General features: G+C 38.3%; 2 long non-coding RNA genes across 6 annotated transcripts in view; one reads left to right on the top strand and one right to left on the bottom strand.

Moving 5' to 3' along the window:
* SNAP25-AS1 (SNAP25 antisense RNA 1) overlaps positions 1-20,791 on the top strand; it is a 195,695-nt gene that overhangs the window by 9,811 nt on the left and 165,093 nt on the right. The window contains exon 2 of the long non-coding RNA NR_040710.1: positions 12,759-12,878. This is a non-coding gene — a long non-coding RNA (SNAP25 antisense RNA 1). The remainder of the gene's footprint in view (positions 1-12,758; positions 12,879-20,791) is intronic.
* The window catches only part of LOC105372524 (uncharacterized), a 28,402-nt gene continuing 16,476 nt past the window's right edge, over positions 8,866-20,791 (bottom strand). For 4 of the 5 annotated variants that reach the window (NR_187929.1, NR_187930.1, NR_187933.1 and 1 more), the window contains 2 exons: positions 12,757-12,829; positions 8,866-9,227 (listed from right to left, as the gene is read on the bottom strand). This is a non-coding gene — a long non-coding RNA (uncharacterized LOC105372524). Of the gene's footprint in view, positions 9,228-9,947; positions 10,074-11,731; positions 11,892-12,756; positions 12,830-20,791 lie in introns of those variants that run through there. The other variant, NR_187931.1, reaches the window with a different exon arrangement.

Here is a 20,791-nt window from a genome sequence, read left to right as displayed (position 1 = left end):
CCAGAATCCCATCCAGAGAGAATTGTCACTATTTAACTTGTCTGAAAATTTCCTGAAGGTGAGGATCAAAAAACTACCTATTGGGTACAATGCTCATTACCTTGGTGACAAAATAATCCATACCTCAAACCCCCATGACATGCAATTTACTCATGCAACAAACCTACACAGGTACCCCCTGAATCTTAAATAGAAGTTGGAAAGAAAAAAAGTAAAAATAAAAAATAAAAAGTTCCCTAAAAACTACCACTCTTGAAGCTTATCTTTATTTGAGGTAACTTAGAACTCACATAGTATAAACATTATCTCCCCAAAGCATTAGTCAAAAACAATCAGCATCAAATGTTTCACATAGCAGCTGCCTGAGGCAGTGGTAACAGCTGGGACAAATAAGAAGTTGACCAAAAATCATAACAGGAAATGCTGGAAACTGAGATGTTCATAGGGTGTTTTCAAAAGTTCTCACGTATTTCTGGGAATCTAGAAAGCCATGCACATGCAGAAAGCTGGGTGCATGCCCCAAATCTGAGAAGGCCCTCTTCTCTCACCTCTCCATAACCTGAGACTGCATCATCAGGAAGCAAAGACTAAGGCAGCTTTGTAACCTGCCTGGTGGAGCATTGAAAGAGTACTCCAAAAAATACATACACAGAACTTCTCAGCAAAGACTGTGAGCCTTATTGGTGCAAGGTATTTAGGGAAATCTCTGTCCAAACATGAGCTGAACATTAAATTAGCTGAGTAGAGACTTCAGGGCCATACACAATAAAGAAGACTTACCAAAGTAGTTCAGCAAAATCACTCAACAATCAAACAAAACTCCCCCAAATAGATTGAAAAAAAAAAAGATGAAATATATATACAATGCAAATAATCAAAGAGAATTGGATAAAGTGGATATCAGGCAAAATAGAATTTAAGACAAAAATTGTTACTAGGGACAGTAACAACAGTAGTAACAAATAGCAACAGTAACAAATGCTGTGGGATGAAGGTAGAAATCTGATTTCCAGAATTGCCGCATTATATTATTTAAAATGTGTAGTTCTTAACTAAATATTAAGACATACAAACAAATGTGGCCCATATGCAGGAGAAAAACAGTCAAGAGAACCTGTCCCTGAGGATACCTAGGCATTAGAATTTCTGGACAAGGACTTAAAATCAGCTCTTATAAATGTGTTAAAGAACTAATGAACTAGCCCATGTCCAATGAACTAAAGGGAAATATGGGAAAGATGTCTCACAAAATAGAGCATATCAATAAATAAATAGGTATTGTAAATAATCAAATAAAAATTTCGAAGTTGAAAAATATCATAACTGAAATAAAAAAATTCATTAGAGAAGCACCGTAACATATTGGAGGTGGCAGAATAAAGAACAAGCAATTTCAAAGATAAATCAATTGAGATGATTCAGTCTGAGCAAAATGGAAAAAGAATGAACAAAAGCTAATGAAGCCTCAGAGATCAGTGAGACATCATCAAGCATACCAAGTCAGCATAAAGGAAAACCAAAAGGAGATGAGAGAAATGGGTAAATAGAACATGTGAAGATGTAATGGCCAAAACTAACAAAATTTTGAGGAATAACATTAATCTAAACACCCAAGAAGCTCAACAAACTCCAGTAGGATAACTTAAGGAGATCAACATCTGTGTGCATTACAATCAAAACTAAAAGTCATGGAGGGAAAATACTGAAGGCAGAAAGAGAAAAATGGCTCATTATGTCCAAGGGATCCTTAATAAGATTAAGATTCTCATTAGAAACCACAGAGACAGTGGGATGACATGCTCATATTTAAAGTACTGAAAGAAAAAGACATTCAACCAAGAAGTCTATATTCAACAAAATTATCCTTCAAAAGGAAGGAAAACAGCAACAATAACTAAAATAATTTGTTGCTAACGGACCTTCCCTGTAAGTACTAAAGGAAGTGCCTCAGCTGAAATGGAGAGACTGGACAGTGACTCAAATCCACATAAAACAATAAAGAGTACTGGTAAAGGTAGGTACAAAGAGAAATATAAAAGCCAGCTTTATTGTGTTATTTTGGTTTGTATTTTTTTCTTCTCCTATCTGATCGAAATTACATAAAGCAATAATTGTAAAACTATGTTGATGAGTTTATAATGTATACAGATGTAATTTGTATGAAAATAAAAGCACCAAGGAGGGAGGAGGGAATAGAGCTATGTCAGAGCAAAGTTTTGGTGTACTATCAAAATCAAGTTTGTATTAATTTGAACTAGATTTTAAAAACTTATCACATTAATTGTACTTCCCAGCTATGCACAGTGGCTCACCTTTGTAATCTCAGCTACTCAAGAGGCTGAGGTGGGAGGATCCCTTGAGTCCCGGAGTTCAAGCCCAGCCTGGGCAACATAGCGAGACATCATCTCCAAACAAACAAACAAAACAAAACAAAACAAAAACTTTACTGAAAAACCCAGAAATGTTTTTGGGAAAATAAACAGTATGGTTCTAAAATTTATATAGCAATGCAAGTAACCCAGAATAGCCAAAAAATCTTGAAAAAGAAGAACAAAGTTGGAAGAGTCACACTTCCGCATTTCCATACTTAATACAAAGGTATAGTAATAAAGACTTTACGACACCAACATAAAAACAAATAACTGGGATCAGATTAAATGTCCAGAAGTAACCCTTTCATTTATGATTAATTTATTTTTTGACAAGGGTGACAACAGAATTCAATGTGGAAAAAAATAGTATTTTTAACAAATGGTGCTGCAAGAATTGGATATCCACATGCAAAAAAATGGCGTATCTGTTTCTCACACCATATAGAAAAACTAACTTACCCGAAGTGATCTATAGGTTCAATGCAATTCCTATCAAAATCTCATTGACATTTTTTTTCAGAAATAGAAAAATCCCTCTAAAATTCATATAGAATCTCAAGGGATTCTAAATAACCAAAATGATATTGAAAAAGAAGAATAAAGTTGCAGTTTCAGATTTCCTGATTTCAAAACTTACAATGAAGCTTCATAATCAAGGCAGTGTAGTATTGGCATAAAGTCAGACCAATGGAATAGAATAGAGGGTCCAGAAATAAATGCTTGCATATAGTATGGTCAAATCATTTTTGACAAAGGCTCCAAGACCAATGGGGAAAGGGCAGTATTTTCAACAAATGATGCTCAGAAAACTGCAAAATATGCAAAAGAATGAGGTTCATTTGCAAAAGAATGAGGTTGGCCCAGTTCCTCATATCATAGAAAAAAATTAACTCAAAATTGATCAAAACCTTAAGAGCTAAAACTATAAAAATCTTAGCATAAAACATATGTGCACATTTTTATGACCCTGGATCAGGCATTGAACACCAAAATACAAATGACAGCAAATTATAAATTTGACTTCCTCAAAATAAAAAAAAGTTAAATGTGTTTCTAAAGATACAATTTTACAAATGAAAAGGCAAAAAGCAAAAAGGAAAATAATATTTGCAGATCATATATCTGATAAAGGACTTCTATGCAGAGTATTTAAAGGACCTTTACAACTCAATAAAAAGACAACACAACTTAAAAATGAGAAAAAAATTTAAGAATTATTTTTCTAAAGCAGATTACAAATGGCTAATAAACACATGAAAAATGCTTGACATGATCAGTCATTAGGGAAATGCAAATCAAAACCACAAGGAGATACTGCTTCACATCCCCAAGATATCTCTAATCTAAAAGATGAAAAATAGCAAGTGTTGGTAAAGATGTGGAGAATATATAACACTTATCTATTGTTGGTAAGGTATAAGATGGTGTAGCCACTTTGGAAACATTTTTGCAGTTCCTCAGAAACTTAAACACAGAGCTACCATATGATGCAGCAGTTCTACTTCTAGGCATAAACCCAAGAGAACTGAAAACACATATCCATCAAAAAAATCCTGTACATAAATGTTCATAGCAGCATTATGTCCAATAGCCAAAAAAAGTGGAAATACCAAAGGCACAGGCAACAAAAGAAAAAAAAGTAAGTTGGACTACATCAAAAATAAAAATCTCTAGGCATCAAAGGAAATAATTAATAGAGTGAAAAGACAACCCACAAAATGGAAGAAAATATTTGCAAATAGCATATCTGATAAAGAATTAATATACAGAATTCATAAAAAGCTATAATTCAACAACAACCACACAACCCATCTCAAAAATGGGCAAAGTATTGGAACTGATATTTTTCCTAAAAGATATACAAATGGCCAATATGCACATGAAAAGATGTCCAATATCACTAATCATTGGAGAAATGCAAATCAAAACCACAATGAGAAGCCACCTCACACCCCTTAGAATAGATACTAAGAAAAAAACCTGAAAATAACAAGTATTGAAAGAAATGTAGTGATATTGGAACTCCTGTGCATTGCTGGTGGCAGTGTAAAATGGTAGTTACTATAGAAAACAGTAAGATGTATCCTTGAAAAATTAAAAATAATTTGCCATATAATCCAGCAGTTCCACTTCTGGGTATATATCCAAAAGAATTGAAAGCAAGGTTTAGAAGAGGGAGTTGCCCACCGTGTTCATAGCAGTATTATTCACAATAGCCAAAGAGGGAAACAACCCAAGTGTCCATCGATGGAGGCATGGATATGTAAAATTCATATACATAAAATGCAATATTTTCCACCTTAAAAAGGAAGAAAACTTGGACACATACTACAACGTGGATGAACCTTGAGGATACTATGCTAAGTGAAATAAGCAAGTCACATAAGTACAAATATTGTTTGATTTCACTTACGTGAAGTACCTAGAGTAGTGAAATTCATAGGGACAGAAAGTAAAATAGTGGTTGTCAGGGTGAAGATGGAGAAAAGAGAAAGTTATTGTTCAACGGGCACAGCATTTAAGTTTTGCAAGATGAAAAGAGTTCTAGAGATGGATGGTGGTGATGGTTGCACAGCCATGTGAATGTACTCAATTCCATAGAACTCTACACTTAAAAATTGTCAAGACAATTATTAAAGTAAATTATTATAGTACATTTTATATGTATTTTATCACAGTGAAAAAATACTGATGCCTGGGTAACCTTTCCAGAAATCCTCAGTTAATTGGATTGAAGTGAGTTCTGAACATGATTTGATAATTAAAAAATCAGGCCAGGTGCAGTGATTAACACCTGTAATTCCAACAATTTGGAAGGCCGAACGGGAGGATTGCTTGAGTCTAGGAGTTTGAAACTAGCCTAGGGAACACAGTCAGATCCTGTCTCTACCAAAAATTTTTTTAAAAAAGTAGCCAAGTGTGGTGGCACATGCCTGTGGTCCCTGCTACCTGGGAAGCTGAGTGGGAGGACCGCTTGAGCTGGGGAGGTTGACGCTGGAGTGAACCATGACCTCCCCCCTCCACCCAGCCCACTGCACTCCAGCTTGGGTGCCAGAGTGAGAAAAAATTATTTTTCAGGTGCATCTGGTATTTCAATCTATTCCTTGGGTCAACCATGAATAAACTAATAGGTGTTGCCTTGTTTGTTTCTTTCTGGTTCTTTCCATCCACTCGATGCTTTTTTTCTAATTCCTTTCTCCCTTCAAGAAGCCCTAGTGACCTAATCTGCTGCGGCAGATAGCTTCTACTAAGGATAGATTATCAGGTAACTAATTCATAGTAAGCATTTAGAGACTTCTCACCAAGCTAGAAAATCAGAGTAATTTTAAGAATTGAGTAAGGTGAGGTTTTACACACATTGCCAGGTCGTTAAAGAGATCTTGTGGGAAGAGATATTTCTGGTACAGGACAGCTGCAGGGTATGAAAAATATACTTTGGACATGAAGTCAGATTTATTTTTATTTATTTAATAAACACACATATAAAATGTTATAAGTTGCAAGCATTCTAAACACTTTAGAGATTTAACCCCCTACAACTTTCTGATGTTTATACTATTATAATGCCCATTGAACAAATGAGTAAACTGAGACACAGGGCAGTTAAATATCTTACCCAAGGACATTCAGCTAATAAGTGCCAGGACCCAGGTGCCAGCTCCAGAATACAAGTGCCCAAACATGACCCGTTATTCTGTTGAACCTTCTCAACTCTGCTGTAGGTTCTCATTCTTCCTCTGCTATGTCTGTACTGTGTGACTTTTTGAAAACCAATTAACTTCTCTTAGCTTGTTTTCTTATTTGTAAAATAGAACATTGTGTTTAGTTGGAATAGGATGTCATGCCACACACAGGGTCTAGCCAATCTTTTTCTTTCTTTCTTTTTTTTTTTTTTTGAGATGGAGTCTCCCACTTGTCGCCCATGCTGGAGTCCAGTGCTATGATCTTGGCTCACTGCAACCTCCACTTCCTGGATTCAAGTGATTCTCCTGCCTCAGCCTCCTGAGTAGCTGGAATTACAGGCGCCCACCACCACACCGGGCAAATTTTTGTACTTTTAGTAGAGATGGGGTTTCACCATGTTGGCCAGGCTCGTCTCCAACTCCTGACCTCAGGTGATCCACCCGCCTCGGCCTCCCAAAGTGCTGGGATTACAGGCGTGGGCCACTGCGCCCAACCAATTTCTTTGTAACTGATAGAGGCACCTTTTTATTTTTCTGCCATCTGTGTTTCATGTTAAGCTGCATGTTAAGTTGTCGCAATCTATTTAAACCAGGAACCCCTAACTATGAGTGTCTTAGAAAGTCTGGGCTGAAGTAAATCTCCAAAATGTCTGCTGATTTCATGAATGAGGAAACTGAGGAAGAGGAGGAAATACGGGGCCAGCCTTTTAACCATCAGGCGGTTACTTTCCCCCACAGTATATATTTGAGTAGTGAGCTTCTAGACAGAACTGAGCACTTCAGGCCTATTCTATGTTATTGAAGAATTGTGTCTATCCCAAGTCTCTGGGGTCAATTCCCACTTGTGTTATGACAGCAAATATAATATGTAAAAATTTCGTAATTTGGAAATTGGAAAATGACTGTCACAGGTGATTGGAAACAGAAGAGAGACAGGAAGTTGAGGCAAAAACTTGTGAGGGGGGCATCAAGCTTACAACATAGGGTGGCTTTGCAGACCAGGACCATTTTGCTTGCAAATTATAGAAACCAGACCACAATAACTTAGGCATAAAAGGAAATGTATTGGCGTATGCAGTTAAAAAATCTGGAATCAGATCTATAGTTTCAAGCAAGGCTGGATTTAGGTGCTCAAACAATGTCATCAGGAACTTATCTCTCATCATCTCTGTGTTGATTTCATTCTCAGATAGACTCAGCCAATTATCATCAACAGCAGAAAAGAACATGCCACTTTTCCAATCGTTCCAGCAAAATCCCTACTTTTTTTAATTGGTCAGACCTGGGTCATATATTCATTCCCAGAAGCCATGATAAGTCAACCTGACACACATCGACTAGGAGTGGGGAAGGAAACTCCTTTCAAGGAAAAATCAGAATGAGGCAAACAAGAAGGAAATGCATACGGAGCAAGCAAAAATACCAGGCACTCATCCCAGAGAGCAGGGCCAATTGACAGGGGAAAGTATTGAGTGCTTGGGTGGGAGGTCAGAAACTCAGTAAGGTGCTGGGCCTTGAAGCGTTAATTCATCTAATACAGTAAATCTGGCTACACATGCTTTTCCAGTGGTATACTCCTGGTGCGATTCTTGCTGAACCTGTGCTTCTCAGATTCTGATTTAGTGGGTCTGGAATGGAGTTCAAAAGTCAACATTGCTAACAAACTCCCATGTGATGCTGATGTTGCTGGTTAGTGGACCACATTGTGCTAAAGCATTAACGTAAATAATTTCTAGCTGTGGTGAGTTCTGGCCTCTTAATTGCCCTGCCCTTGAATTGGTGAGAGGTTGGACGATTCTGTATGCCCTGTCTGTGTGCCCTTGGCAGGCTCCATCCTGCTATCATTCATCTCTCTCAGGGGTATTTGGGAATGAGAGGCAGCCTTTCTGCCAGAATTATGGGCTTCCTCATTTCTCTACCCCAGGACTGCATGGGTTTAAGGCACTGGACCAAAGGAAAGCCTTGGCATGGGGTTCTGGAAGGTTAGTTAGCTGGCCCAAGATCAGCATTTTATTTAATAAAAGGGTCAGAGATAATTCAGTTTCTTGCTGCTCACTTATTGCTCTTTGGCTATAGACTAAAGGGATTTGCCAAAGCCCAGATGACTATAGTTGCAGGAGTGTGTCCTGCTGAGGCCAGCTTCAACCAGCAGAACGGCCAAGTTGACCCACAGGTTGATGAGTCACACAAAATGGTTGTTGTGAGCTGCCGAATTTGGGGGAAATTTCAATACTGTATTATTATGGCAATAGATTACTAAAAGACTATCTGTGTGGATTTGGGAATTTTTTTTTAACCTCTGTAAGCCTCTGTTTTCTCTGTAAAATGAAGATAAACTCATGTAGGGTTATTGTGAAGATTAAATAGAATAAGAAGGAGGAAAAACTTGACCTAGTATTCCAATAAATAGCAGAATTAGAAATACAGTTTTCCTGTATACAGCCAGTCTTCAAGAAGCCTCATAGAGAAAGGAACTTTCTGGTAGAATTAAAAAGAGATGGTGTAGAAAAAGAAGAGAGAAGGGAATTTATTATTCCCTTTTGGTGTCAGGTGGTTTCACAGATCATCCAATATATTTTATAGAATTGTGTCTTCCCTACCAACTTATGTGGTAAGTTTTTCTATTCCCTTTTCATAGATGAGGAAACCAAGACACAAAAGCGAACTGATTTTGTTAACATCAGATAGTCAATGGTAGAGGACCTGGGATTAAAAAAGCGAAAACACTAAAAAATGAAAAATAAATACAAAAGTTAGATCTTTCACTCTAAATACCTTGCTCTTTCCACGATTAAACCCCAACTCAAACCTTAATCACATTACAGCTTTTATTTAAATATTTTTATTCAGCGCTCCCACTACAGAGTAAGAAAATACATGTCTTAAACAAACCTTTCAAAGATTACTTTCCTTTTTCTATTTAACTTATCTTTTCTTTCCAGAACCAGTCTCTCTCTCCATCTCTTTGAATTTCTCCCTGACTCTCCAGCTACATCTCTCTTCCTCTCTTCTCCCTGACTCTTTCTCTGTCTCTTTCTTTCTCTGCCTAACACAGGCTGTCTTCAGATCCTTGTAGTTAAAATTCAAGTGGAAAGCAAGTGACTCAGCAAGCTGGATGTTAATTTCTTTAGTTTATTTGTTCTTAAAGAAAAAAATTCTCTTGGCAGCATATCTAGAAAGAGAGAAATGAAAATTTTAAGGCTCTTGTAGGAAAAGCATCTTAGGTACACACAGTCTATATGGTATTTTTAAATTCAACCAGGCAGGAAAGGAGGCCCAAGCTCACAGCAGAGTTTAAATAAACCTCTTTACTGTTTGTGCTCACATGAATGAGCCATTTCTTCTTTCTATGTTTAGTGTCTGTAGGAAATCAGACCTAGGATTGCTTTTTTTTTTTTTTTTCTTTGAGAGGGAGTCTTGCTCTATCACCCAGGTTGGAGTGCAGTGGTGCGATCTTGGCTCACTGCAACCTCCGCTTCCCAGGTTCAAGCGATTCTTCTGCCTCAGCCTCCCAAGTAGCTGGGATTACAGGCACCCACCACCATGGCTGGCTAATTTTTGTATTTTTAGTAGAGATTGGGTTTCACCATGTTGGCCAGGCTGGTGTTGAACTCCTGACCTCATGTGATCCACCCACCTTGGCCTCCCAAAGTGCTGGGATTACAGGCGTGAGACAGCATGCCCAGCCCCTAGGATTGCTTTCGTCAAGTTTGATTCTTCACCTTTATCTGATTCTTGATTTGTACACATATAGCTTTTTCACTTTGTATTCATAGAAACAAAAGACTCAGAACCGTGTTGCCATTTGGTGCCATGTGACCTAGATTTGGATGAGGTATTGGTCAGCAAAGGCCATGTTATACTGCAGTAACAAACATCCTCATGCTCATAATGGCTTAATATAAGAAAAGTTTATTTTTCCTCTTGCTATGTGTCCAATGTAGATTAAAAGAGCCTTTCTTAATCGTCCTCACTAGTGGTTATCTGCTGATGGAGATTCCAACTTGGGATTCCATGACTGTCAATGTAGAGAGAAAGGGGGAATGAATCAAGCACAGTTACTTAAATGCTTCTTCTGGAAGAGACATTCATTACTCTTACTCATGTTTAAGCCAAGTCATGTGGCCTTTTTTTACTTTAGGGAGTGGGGAAGTGAGCCCTCCCACACCCCTAGAGAAGGAGAGCCAGGGTTTTATAAACAGCTCTAATAACTAGCCCAGATGGTCTCCCTGAAGTCAGGTAGGGTCCTTGCTTCTCCTGGACCAATAATAAAATAGGATCCAGGCTGATTCATTTTTCTCTTAGGTGAACTAACTTCTTTTCTTGGAAAGAAACGATGTCATATCTTATTGTGCAGCTTAGAAGGTTAACATGTACAAGAAATATCTGTGCTTTGAAAAAGATAACACAAAATTTTATTCTTTAAAATGATATGTACTTGGAGATAATACCCTTAAAAATAAGCAATGTCCTTTTTTAGTTATTTCTTGCTTCTAATGTTACCTGGAAAAAGTCTTACATTGCTCATGCTCTTGTTAGGAGTTATTAACTTTATTTTTAACCTATAATCCATAATTATCACTGAGCTCCAGGAAGTTGAAATTTTGTTCATATTGTAGATGTGAAATTTGGCTTTCCAAGGTGAACTGAACCTTCAAATATGTAAAATATATTTTAAGAAATTGCATGCATATGTTTAAATTTCAGCCAAATAAAAGTCCTCTTGTGATTTTCTAAAACATTTATCATATTTTCTACCAAATAGGATCGACAGAACTTGACTTAGAAAGCTGGCACACAGCTTCACGGAAGCAGCTTCTAGAGGAATGCTATCCAACATAACTTTCTGTGATGACAGAAATGTACTACAGCTGCCTTGTCCAATAAGGTGACTACTAGCCACATGTGGCCATTTAGTTCTTAACATGTGGCTACTGCCACTGAGGAACTGCATTTTAAATTTTGTTGAGTTTTGATTAGTTTAAATTTGTATAGCCACACAGGCCAGTGCTAGTATATTGAATAGCACTGCTCTAGAAGTTGGGCTTTCAACTGATTTTATTATTGTTGAACTTTAAAAACCGAAAATGCATCCTTAACTTGAAATAAAGGAAGCTCACATGTGCATTCTTGGTCTGCTTGCTGAGAACCTGAAACTGCCACAGTGATGTTTTCTAATTCTGGGGTGTGAGCATCTTTGAATTCTAGCAACTTGCAGAATCACTTATTTGGGGGTAGACTCTGGGTTAGGCCATGCTGGGTAGCATTTTTGGACTGTGGGATGGGATAGAGGGGGAGCTAGAGACTGTCCTCAAGAAGAACTATTACTTCAGTTGGTCTGGTGGCCCGATGACCTCTCCTGGTGAGACCAGTGGGCTCCAGCAGGTCACCTGAGGTGGTCAAGGAGAGGATCCTGCCAGCTCATGCTGCAGAAGAACTGAGGTTCACAAACATACAATCATCCCATAACTTACTCCTGCTGTCATCATCCCCCATCACTGTGGGGATCAAGGTTGACAGTTTTACATCTCCTTCTATTATTTGCCTCCCACCTCAGTATGCCCTCTCCATCATTCTGTAAAATTACATTTGCTGTTTTAGCCAATTTTTCTAGAGTATAAAACAAACATAATTTCATCCCTCCCTCAAGTATACACTCAAAAGACAAATGCTCACCCTACAAACCACCTCTTCCCAATATAGATATTTGGGAGTGGACATTGACCATCACCATCATCATCACCAGGAGAAAAGGGTTGACAACGCTCCTTCTCTGATTTGTCCAGAGTTGCCAATCCTTCTTAGGTCTAACAGGTGCCAGCCTCTGTGCTAAGCCCTCAGGATACAAAAATGAATTACAAAGGTTTCCTTTTTCAGTGAGCTCCCAACCAACAGCTGGAGATAGACATGTAAACAGTTGACTCGTGATAACACATAATAGTAGTGTGAGGTGTTTGAAAACAAAGGATAGGGAGTGACAAAATAAAATATTTAGAATGAGATTAATATTCCCCCTAGTTACTTTGAATTTAGAGAAAGAAATATTTCTAGGGCCAGGCTTGTTGGCTCATGCCTGTAATCCCAGCACTTTTGGAGGCTATGTTGGGAAGATTGCTTGAGGCTAGGAGTTTGAGACCAGCCTGGGCAACACAGCAAGACCCTTTCTCTAAAAAAAAAAAAGAAATATTTCCAAAAATGTTTATGGTAGAGATGGTATTAATACTCGCCAATCCTGATGCTTCTTTCTGGTCTCACAGGCTACGTTACCCAGACTCATTTTTTGTTTTTTCTTTGAGATAGGGTCTCACTTTGTCATTCAGGCTAGAGTGCAGTGGCGTGATCTCGGCTCACTGCAGCCTCAACCTCCCAGCTCAAGTGATCTTCCCACTTCAGCCTCCCAACTAGCTGAGACTACAGGCATGTGCCACTATGCCCAGCTAATTTTTAATTTATTTTTTTTTGTAGCGACGAAGTCTCCCTATGTTGCCCAGGCTGATCTTGAATTCCTAGGCTCAAGAGACCCTCCTGGCTCAGCCTCCCAAAGTGCTGAGATTACAAGCATGAGCCACCACACCCAGCCACTAGCCTCATTGTCATTTAGGCAGAGGCCATGTGACAAGGTTCTGGGCAAAGTATCTGGTCAAATTGACATGCCTCCCATAAAAACCTCCTGTTTTGTTCTTCATGTTCTCTTCTCTTACAGGAGCCATGGAAGTCAAATGCTGAGGATGGTGGCATCATAGGATGAATGGAGCTGGGTTCTTGAAACACTGCCTGGAGGAAAGACAGCAAAAATGCCTCATGAATCCAACTGGACTGTTAGGTGAGAAATAAACTTTAATTATGTTAAACTACTATAATCTGGGGGCCATTTGTTGTAACAGCTAGAATCAATTACCGTTACTAATATATTGTTCAAGTGGTTTCAATTGGGTTATCAGATATAATCCTTTTAATCTCCATATTTTACCAAAGAAGAAATGAAGTAACTTGCCTAAATTCATACAGCTAGTTTTTGGAAGTTCTAGGACCAGAACCCAGTCTCCCAATTTGCAGCCAAAGCTCAGCTCTGCAACGCCAAACTTGCCTCTATTCATCTATAAATAATTTTCAACAACTCTTGTATGACTGCTGGTAAAACAGAAATATGTAGATTGAATTTTATGGAAAATAAAAGTTGTCTTTATGGGGAAGAGAACAAGGTAACACTGAGGTTTACCAAAAGGGATTTATTTTGATATTAGCATATTTAGGTTGCTTATAAAGTGCTGAATTTAAAACATGGCTGGATTTATCTATCAGGACAATTTTAGGTTTATCATTAGGACAATGCCTTGTTATGTTGTGTGGTTTTGTTATTCTATGCCAGGTATATAAATTTATGCTTTGCTGGGAGGTTGGAACTATTTGGATACAACATATGGGTTCATCAATTACTGAGAAGAGTAGACTAACTTTTTCAAGACTCAGTATCATCAGATTGAGCTCTAAGTTTCTTAGTCCATGGACTTAATCCATAACATCCATATTTTCTAGAATAAAGTGGGACAAAAGAACCTAGAGTAATTCAATTTCTATGGCAAATGCTGTTGCTGGTATGATCAATAGCCATTCTTCCCTTCCATCATAGATATCAGAATCTTGATACATTTGGGTGGAACCAGCCTAGCCCAGGTGATGATGAATGGTGATGAACGTAAATCAGGAGTGGCAATCTTGGTCTCCCTTGCAAATGATAGTAGTGGGAGTGGAACCAAATTCTGGCTAATGAAATGTAACTAGATATCCACTGAAGGCTTCAGGAAACTATTTTCCTCTTTTCTGAGTGGAAAGTATGAAGAAGAGCCATTATTGTCTATCCCTACCTTCCTGCATCTGGATTTAATTGGGTGAGGATATGACTCTTGGAGTGGCAGCATCAGTTCAAGGAGGGGGAAACACCTGTCTGGGTTGGAGCATTCTGTTCTTCACATCCCTTTACAACACTCCATCCCTCAAGAGCACAATTGCTTGTTTTTCAAGTCATGGGAATTGAGCAATTAAAGATTGGGCTTTGTATAGGAACTATAGGGTTCATGTCCCCACTCCACTTCTCTGACATATTGGCCTGGTTACCGTACTGTCTCTCTACTCTGAGTATGAGTAATACAAATAATGCCTGCCCTCAAATTTCTTATTTGTAAAACTAGGATAATAAAAATCTACTTGATAGTGTTATTGGAAGACTTAGATTAGTTTATTAAACTAATGTTTACTGAGTGCCTACCATGGGCCAAAAATTGTGGAAAGCACTTATGATGCTAAGTGAACAAAGTAGACATGGTATCCTGCCCCCATGGGATTTCAAATCTAGTAGAAAAGACAGGCAAGAAAACACATATTGTTAAGTAAATACACCAAGAATCAGCAATCGTAATATTTTCAATGAACTGAATAGGATGGGACAATGGAGAAAAATGGTGGGACAGGAAGACCACTTTAGACAGGGTGGCCAGAAAAGGCCTTCAAAAGGTGGCGAGACTTAATCTGGGATAAGAAAGAGGTAAAGGAAGACACCAGGCAAAGAGCAAGAAGCAAGGAAAGAGATTTTTGTAGCAGATTAAAGAGCAAGAGCAGAAGCCTTCAGATGAGGAAGAGCTTGGCTATTTCAGGAGAAGCAAGAGGGCAAACATGGGCTGGGCATGGTGGCTCATACCTGAAATCTTAGCACTTTAGGAGGCTGAGGTGGGTGGATCACCTGAGGTCAGGAGTTCGAGACCAGCCTGGTCAAAATGGTGAAACCCCCTCTCTACATGTAATTATAAAAATTAGCTGTGCATGGAGGCATGCTCCTGGTGTCCCAGCTACTCAGGAGGGAGGCTGAGGCAGGAGAATTGCTTGAATCTGTGAGGCAGAGGTTGCAGTGAACTGGGATTGCACCACTGCACTCCAACCTGGGTGACAAGGTAAGACACTGTCTCAGAAAAAAAAAAAAAAAAAATTGGGCAAATGTGGCTGGAATGTAGTAAGTCAAAGAGTGAGAGTGGCGGGAAGAAAGACTGGAGAGAAGGAAAGGAAATAGGTCATGGAGGGTCTCATGGGCCATGATACTCAGCTTGGATTTGATTCTAAGCATGATGAGAAGTTTCTGAATGGTTTAAGCAGGGAACCGACATGATCTTCTAGGATTTTTAAACCAAAAATAGCTTTTGTGTAAAAAAGGTTTGGAGAGGTTCAGAAGGGATCAGACAGGAGGCTACTGTAGTGCTGTTGGCATAAGACACTAGCAGCTTAGACTGGCAGAAATGATGTGAGTGGAGTGGACAGAACTAAATGGATTAAGAAAAATTCAGAAATTAGAATCAGCAGGACTTTCTGATGGATTGAATGTGGAAAGTGAAGGAAAGGAAGAATTAAATGGTATCGTCCAGAGTTTTGGCTTGAAGAACTGGACAGATAAGGGGGCCACTTTTCAAAAGGAAAACATTGAAGAGGTTTTTAGATGGGGTAAACATCAAATTTGGTATAGATTTTTTTAATGGCTATGAGATGTCTACATGGAAGTGTAGATTGGTGTTGAATACGTGTCTACACATATGTCTAAGCTGGTATATCAGTTAGCTATTGCTGTGTAACAAACCACACCAAAAGTCAGCAGTTTAAAACAATAACTATTTTGTTACCCTATGAGGTTGCAGGTTGTTTATTTAGCTGGGTTAAGCTGGGGGGACTCATTTAGTCTTGCTTGAGTTACCTCATGCATCAGTAGTCAGCTGCAAGTTGGTTAGATGGCTTTGCTTCCAGGGGTTGGTTGATTGTCAGTGAGTGTAATGTTCCATGTGGTTTTTCATTCTTTAGTGGGCTGCCTTGGGTTTGATCATATGGTAGACGGAGGGCTCCAAGAGTAAGCACAGGCTTAAAGTTGGTAATGCAGTTGGTATTCCCCAACCTTCTATTGGCCAAAGAAAGTTATAGAGCCAGTTCAGATTCACTGGGTAATGAAATAGATTCCACCTCTTGATGTGAGTTGTTGCGATGTGACTTTGCAACAGCTCACGTCAAGATATGAGAGGGATATAGAAAGGCCATTAATTGGGGCCGTAAATGCAATTAATTGGCTGTAGTACGGGTTATAACTCAAGAGTCTTTAGCTTATAGGTGTTATTTAAAGCCATGGGACCAACTGAACTCGGCCAGAGAGAGGTTTAGATGAAGAATAGTTGAGTTCTAGGAAACTTAAGCATTTTGTCAATAATTGATTAAATAATTTGTCAGTGAGGTTGGTGACAGCAAAAAGACTTAGAAGCAAAGGCCAGTGATATAGAAGATAAAATAGGAATCGAAAGCATGTGGAGCAGAGATTTGTGTGTATTAATGTTTAATAAACTGAGTCTGATATAGTTCATATTCATTTACTCAGGGTGTCCTCATTCCAGGGCACTTAGCTACCACTATGTTAGAAAAAATGTGTGGTATAAACTACAGTCCTACTATCCGGCCATGTAGAATATATCATTGAGTTGGAGAGACAGCCTCATGCTTACATAAAGTTAATAACAAGGTAGGACAACTATACAGGTGTTTCTCAAGAGCCCATCAGTGAGACTTTTTAAATAAGATAACCCTTTTGCTGGTTACATGAGTGTTTTAAGTTTGTGAAAATTCATCAGATCACATAGTTATTACTTGTGTGTTCTTCTATGTCATTGTTATACTGCAATAAAAATTTTAAAACACACACACATAGCCTTACTCCTCTGGATTGTTGATGCCTCAAAGTGGTTTAGTTTGATTAAATGTGCTAAATGTCTTTTCATTAGAACTTACTTTTATTATTTTCATTTGCATATATGTGTGATATAGTCATATATATTTCAGAGCCAAAATTTAGAAAAAGAGGCTTCAAAATAAACAAAACAAATTCCTTCTCTTTGTAAGCAATTTAATCATGATTGATTTTTAAAATTTTTAATAGTTTTGAAAAATATTTATTATCTTTGTCTTCTATCCCAGCTTAAATGAATCTCCAATATGTAAAAGGAATTTAGTTTTCTGCCTTAGCATGCATTGTCCATTTAACACAGAGCAAAATAAAATTCAAACAAGAGAAACTGCTTTTTGTTAGAAATGTACGCTAATAAAAGGTATAGAAGCCTCTTTTGAATAAGAAGACTCAAGAACAAAATTGGAACAGTTAGAAAGAAAAGAAGACCTTGCAGAAATTTTTTAGAAGGCCAAATCAGATAGGGGTTTGCTTGGAAAACTGGCATAGGGACAAATTGGCTGGGTCAAAAAGGAAAGCAGCTTTTAGAAAATTGGCTATGGAAACAATCAAAGCATCAAAAGTTGGTAAGAATAATTTAAGATGCTGGGGAGGAGGGAGGCAAGACAGCTCAGATCCTCAGGAGGTTTGCATCATGTTCTGTGAAAAGTTGAAATAGAAGCAAGCCCTCTTAAAACTAATGCAACTAAAAAATTATTATTAACTGTGTGTCAATGGCCTGTGAGCATAGCCAATGGCTGAACTCTCATAGAGCTGGCTGACTTGCAAAGCACTTAGAAATGATGAGATACAAGGACATTTAATTCAGATGAAAAAACTGAGGCCCAGGGAGACTAAATAATTAGCCAAAGGCCATCTGACTAATAAATGGTTGAAACACTAGAGCTAACAATAAAGACATACAGAACTGGACTGAATTAAAACCTTAAGGTTTCAACAGAGGCCTGCCCTGTTTCTGTGGGTAAACCATGCAAAATATTGACGTTGTAAAGGATGAAGTTGGTGTGGATTTTTTTTTTCCATATTGGTCAAGGCCAGTGACAGCAGCAGTGAGAGTGCCAGAAGTGCTCTACAACAGGTAGGATGGAGACTGATTTCTGTAAGAGTGAATGCAGCAGTTTAGAATAAAATGGCCACAGATTCTCAGATACTCCTTTCATTGAGAGCTTGGGGGTCTATATCTCCTCCCCTGGATCTGGGTAGGCTTGTGACTGCTATCTGAATAATGGATTGGGGGTTGGAGGTCAAGGAGAGAAGCCAGGGCACCAGTTAAGAGACTGTTGCTGCCACATAGGATGATGACAACTTGAACCCTAACCCTAACCCAAACCCTAACCCTAACCTCTTTTCTGGAGGTTAAGTGAAGACAAAGTTTCTAAATATATTTTGGAGGCAGAATGAACGGGACTTGGTGATAAAATGGATGTGGGATGGTATGCCTTGAGCAACTAAGTAGTGTCAATTTCCCCAGATAGGAAAAGCTAGGCATAGAACCCCAAAGTTCTATTTTAGCCATGTTCCATTTGGGGTGACAATAAAATATCCTAATTTCTATTTGGGGTTGGAAGTCAAGTGGGAAATTGGATTTACAAACCTAGGGCCAAAGAAAGAGTTCTGAGGTAGACATATAATTTTTCTTATTAAACAAAAATCAGTTTTTAAAACTTGAATTATTCTTTTGACACAGCTACGTTGGCTGTGGTCTTAAATCCTGTAACTTTTGATGTCCTTTTGGGCTTCCCAATCACTTCAGCTCCAGGCTTATTCCTGTAACACCAGTGTCATCTTTCTCCATCTTCACTTTGGTGTCTATGAATATTTTTTTCAGCCCTCTTCTCTTCTTATGAAGTAAAGCAAAGGCTGACCAGATTTCTGGACTCTTAGCAGCAGCATCAGAAAAAAAAAAGGTCAAGATCTGGAGCTTAAATGGCTCCATACCATATATTTGTAACTTCACAGCAGCCCCCAGAGTTAAAGAAAAATATTGGAGGTCCTAAGTCTGAGAAAAAATTGGTGCTCCATCATTAGTTTGCCTATGAAATTCTGTAACTCGACATGGCTGATTACATCCATTTTTTTTTTCGGTCTATAGAAGCATGAAGGGATGCCTACCTTTCCAGATCTAATAACTTCCCATGGGACTGTAATGATGGTTAGTCCCTTACACCAAAATCCCCACTATTCCTCTTTCAGAATTGCCGTTATTTTCCCATTAGGACATTTCTATTCCTGGAGCTTGTTATCCTGACCCCATTAAGTCATAGCTTTGGAAAGACACACTTATTTAATTCCTGTCCTCAGAAATCATTCCCATTATTTCTTTATTTCATTGATTCTTGCTCTGCAGTATTTGTAATTGGTTCTTGTCATAGGAAGTCAAGAGGCTGAAAAGAGTAGAAAGGATGCTTTTCTCCAAGATATGACATATGCCTACCTGTATAGAACTGTTGTTTTCGATTTCTGCTCTTAGGAATATAACTGGGAAATGCCCCACCAATACCCTGCTGAAGTATAATGGGGAAGGGGGAGGGCAGTTCATTAGTGTCAACAATTTTGTCAGAGTGGAAATTAGCATCTCTCACAAATGGATATGATCACAGACTTAGGCACAGATCAGTCTGGGTATATAATGCTAGTCTGACTTAGCAGCTTGCTATCTGACCTTGAGCACAACCATTTAATATTTCTGTAAAATGTTCCCCTCATCTAAACTTTTGCACTTCTAGCTCATCTTTACCCTTCAAATCTCAACTCAAATGTCCTTCCTCTGAGAGGCCTTCTCTGCCTGCCCTCCCATGTAAAGAAACCAGCTCCATTTCTGGGTAATTATTCTCTCTTTTATTACTTTATTTCCTTCCTTCTGCTTATGATAATTATCAGAAATTGTCTTATTTACAATGTTTGCTTATGTGCTTATTTCTGATTCAACTGCTACTTTATCCCTAGCTCAGGATAGGTGCTCGGTTAATTAATGAAATGTCTGTGCAAGGCCAAAATCACTAGCCAGTCTGGTGAGAAGACTCAATCCAAATGATTATTTGCTATCCTCTGCTTAGCACTGTCCACTGGAAATATAATGCAAACCACTTATGTAACTTTAAATGTTCTAATCATCACATCAGAAAAGTCAAAAGAAACAGGACAAATTAGTTTTATATTGTATTCTACTTTACCCAATATATCAACATATTTCAACATGAAAGTTATTAACATAAAAATTATCAATGACTTTATTTACATTCTCTTTTTTATAGTATATTTTTTGAAATCTTGTATGTATTTGTTACATGTAGCACATTTTAATTTGAATGTTAAATTTTAATTCGGAATACTCGATCTGTGTTTAGATTTTGTAAGATTTATAGTTGAAAGAGGAAATTCACATACCCAAATTGTTCCAAATACGTTTAAATATTTTTCAATACTCTAATCAAGCAGCAGGTTTTAAATTTAAGTTTAAATGAATTAAGATGAAATAAAATTAAAAGTTCAGTTCCTAGTTACAATAGACACATTTGGAGTGCTTAATGGCCACATGTGGTCAGTGGCTACCATACTGCAATTCTAGATCTTGCCAAACATTTCTCATCATGTTGTCTTGTGGAAACATGTTCTTACAATCAGGTTATGTTATTCCAAAAGGAAGAAGAGAAAGGAACTTGCATGCATTAAATGGAGGTATACAGCGGGCACTTTGGTAAATGTTTTTTAAACAACCCTTGTAATGAATCTATGAGGCAAGTTTCATCATACTCATTTTATACATTGGGAAACTGAAGGTTGAGAGAGAGTTTGCTGCAGGCCCATAATGTCCCTCTTCCACTCCAGCGGTTTTTGGCTGAGAAGCCAGTGAGCAAAGGGAAGCTCACTCTCAGCTTTCTACGCGGTCCTCCCGACATCTTCCCAAGCACTACCCCGACCATCTGAGAGCACACCTGGCTTCTTCTCCTCAGGTAGAGGCAACGCAAAGTAGG

Source organism: Homo sapiens, chromosome 20, assembly GCF_000001405.40.
Source record: "Homo sapiens chromosome 20, GRCh38.p14 Primary Assembly".
NCBI classification, from domain to species: domain Eukaryota; kingdom Metazoa; phylum Chordata; class Mammalia; order Primates; family Hominidae; genus Homo; species Homo sapiens.
This window is presented reverse-complemented; position numbering and strand designations above follow the sequence as displayed.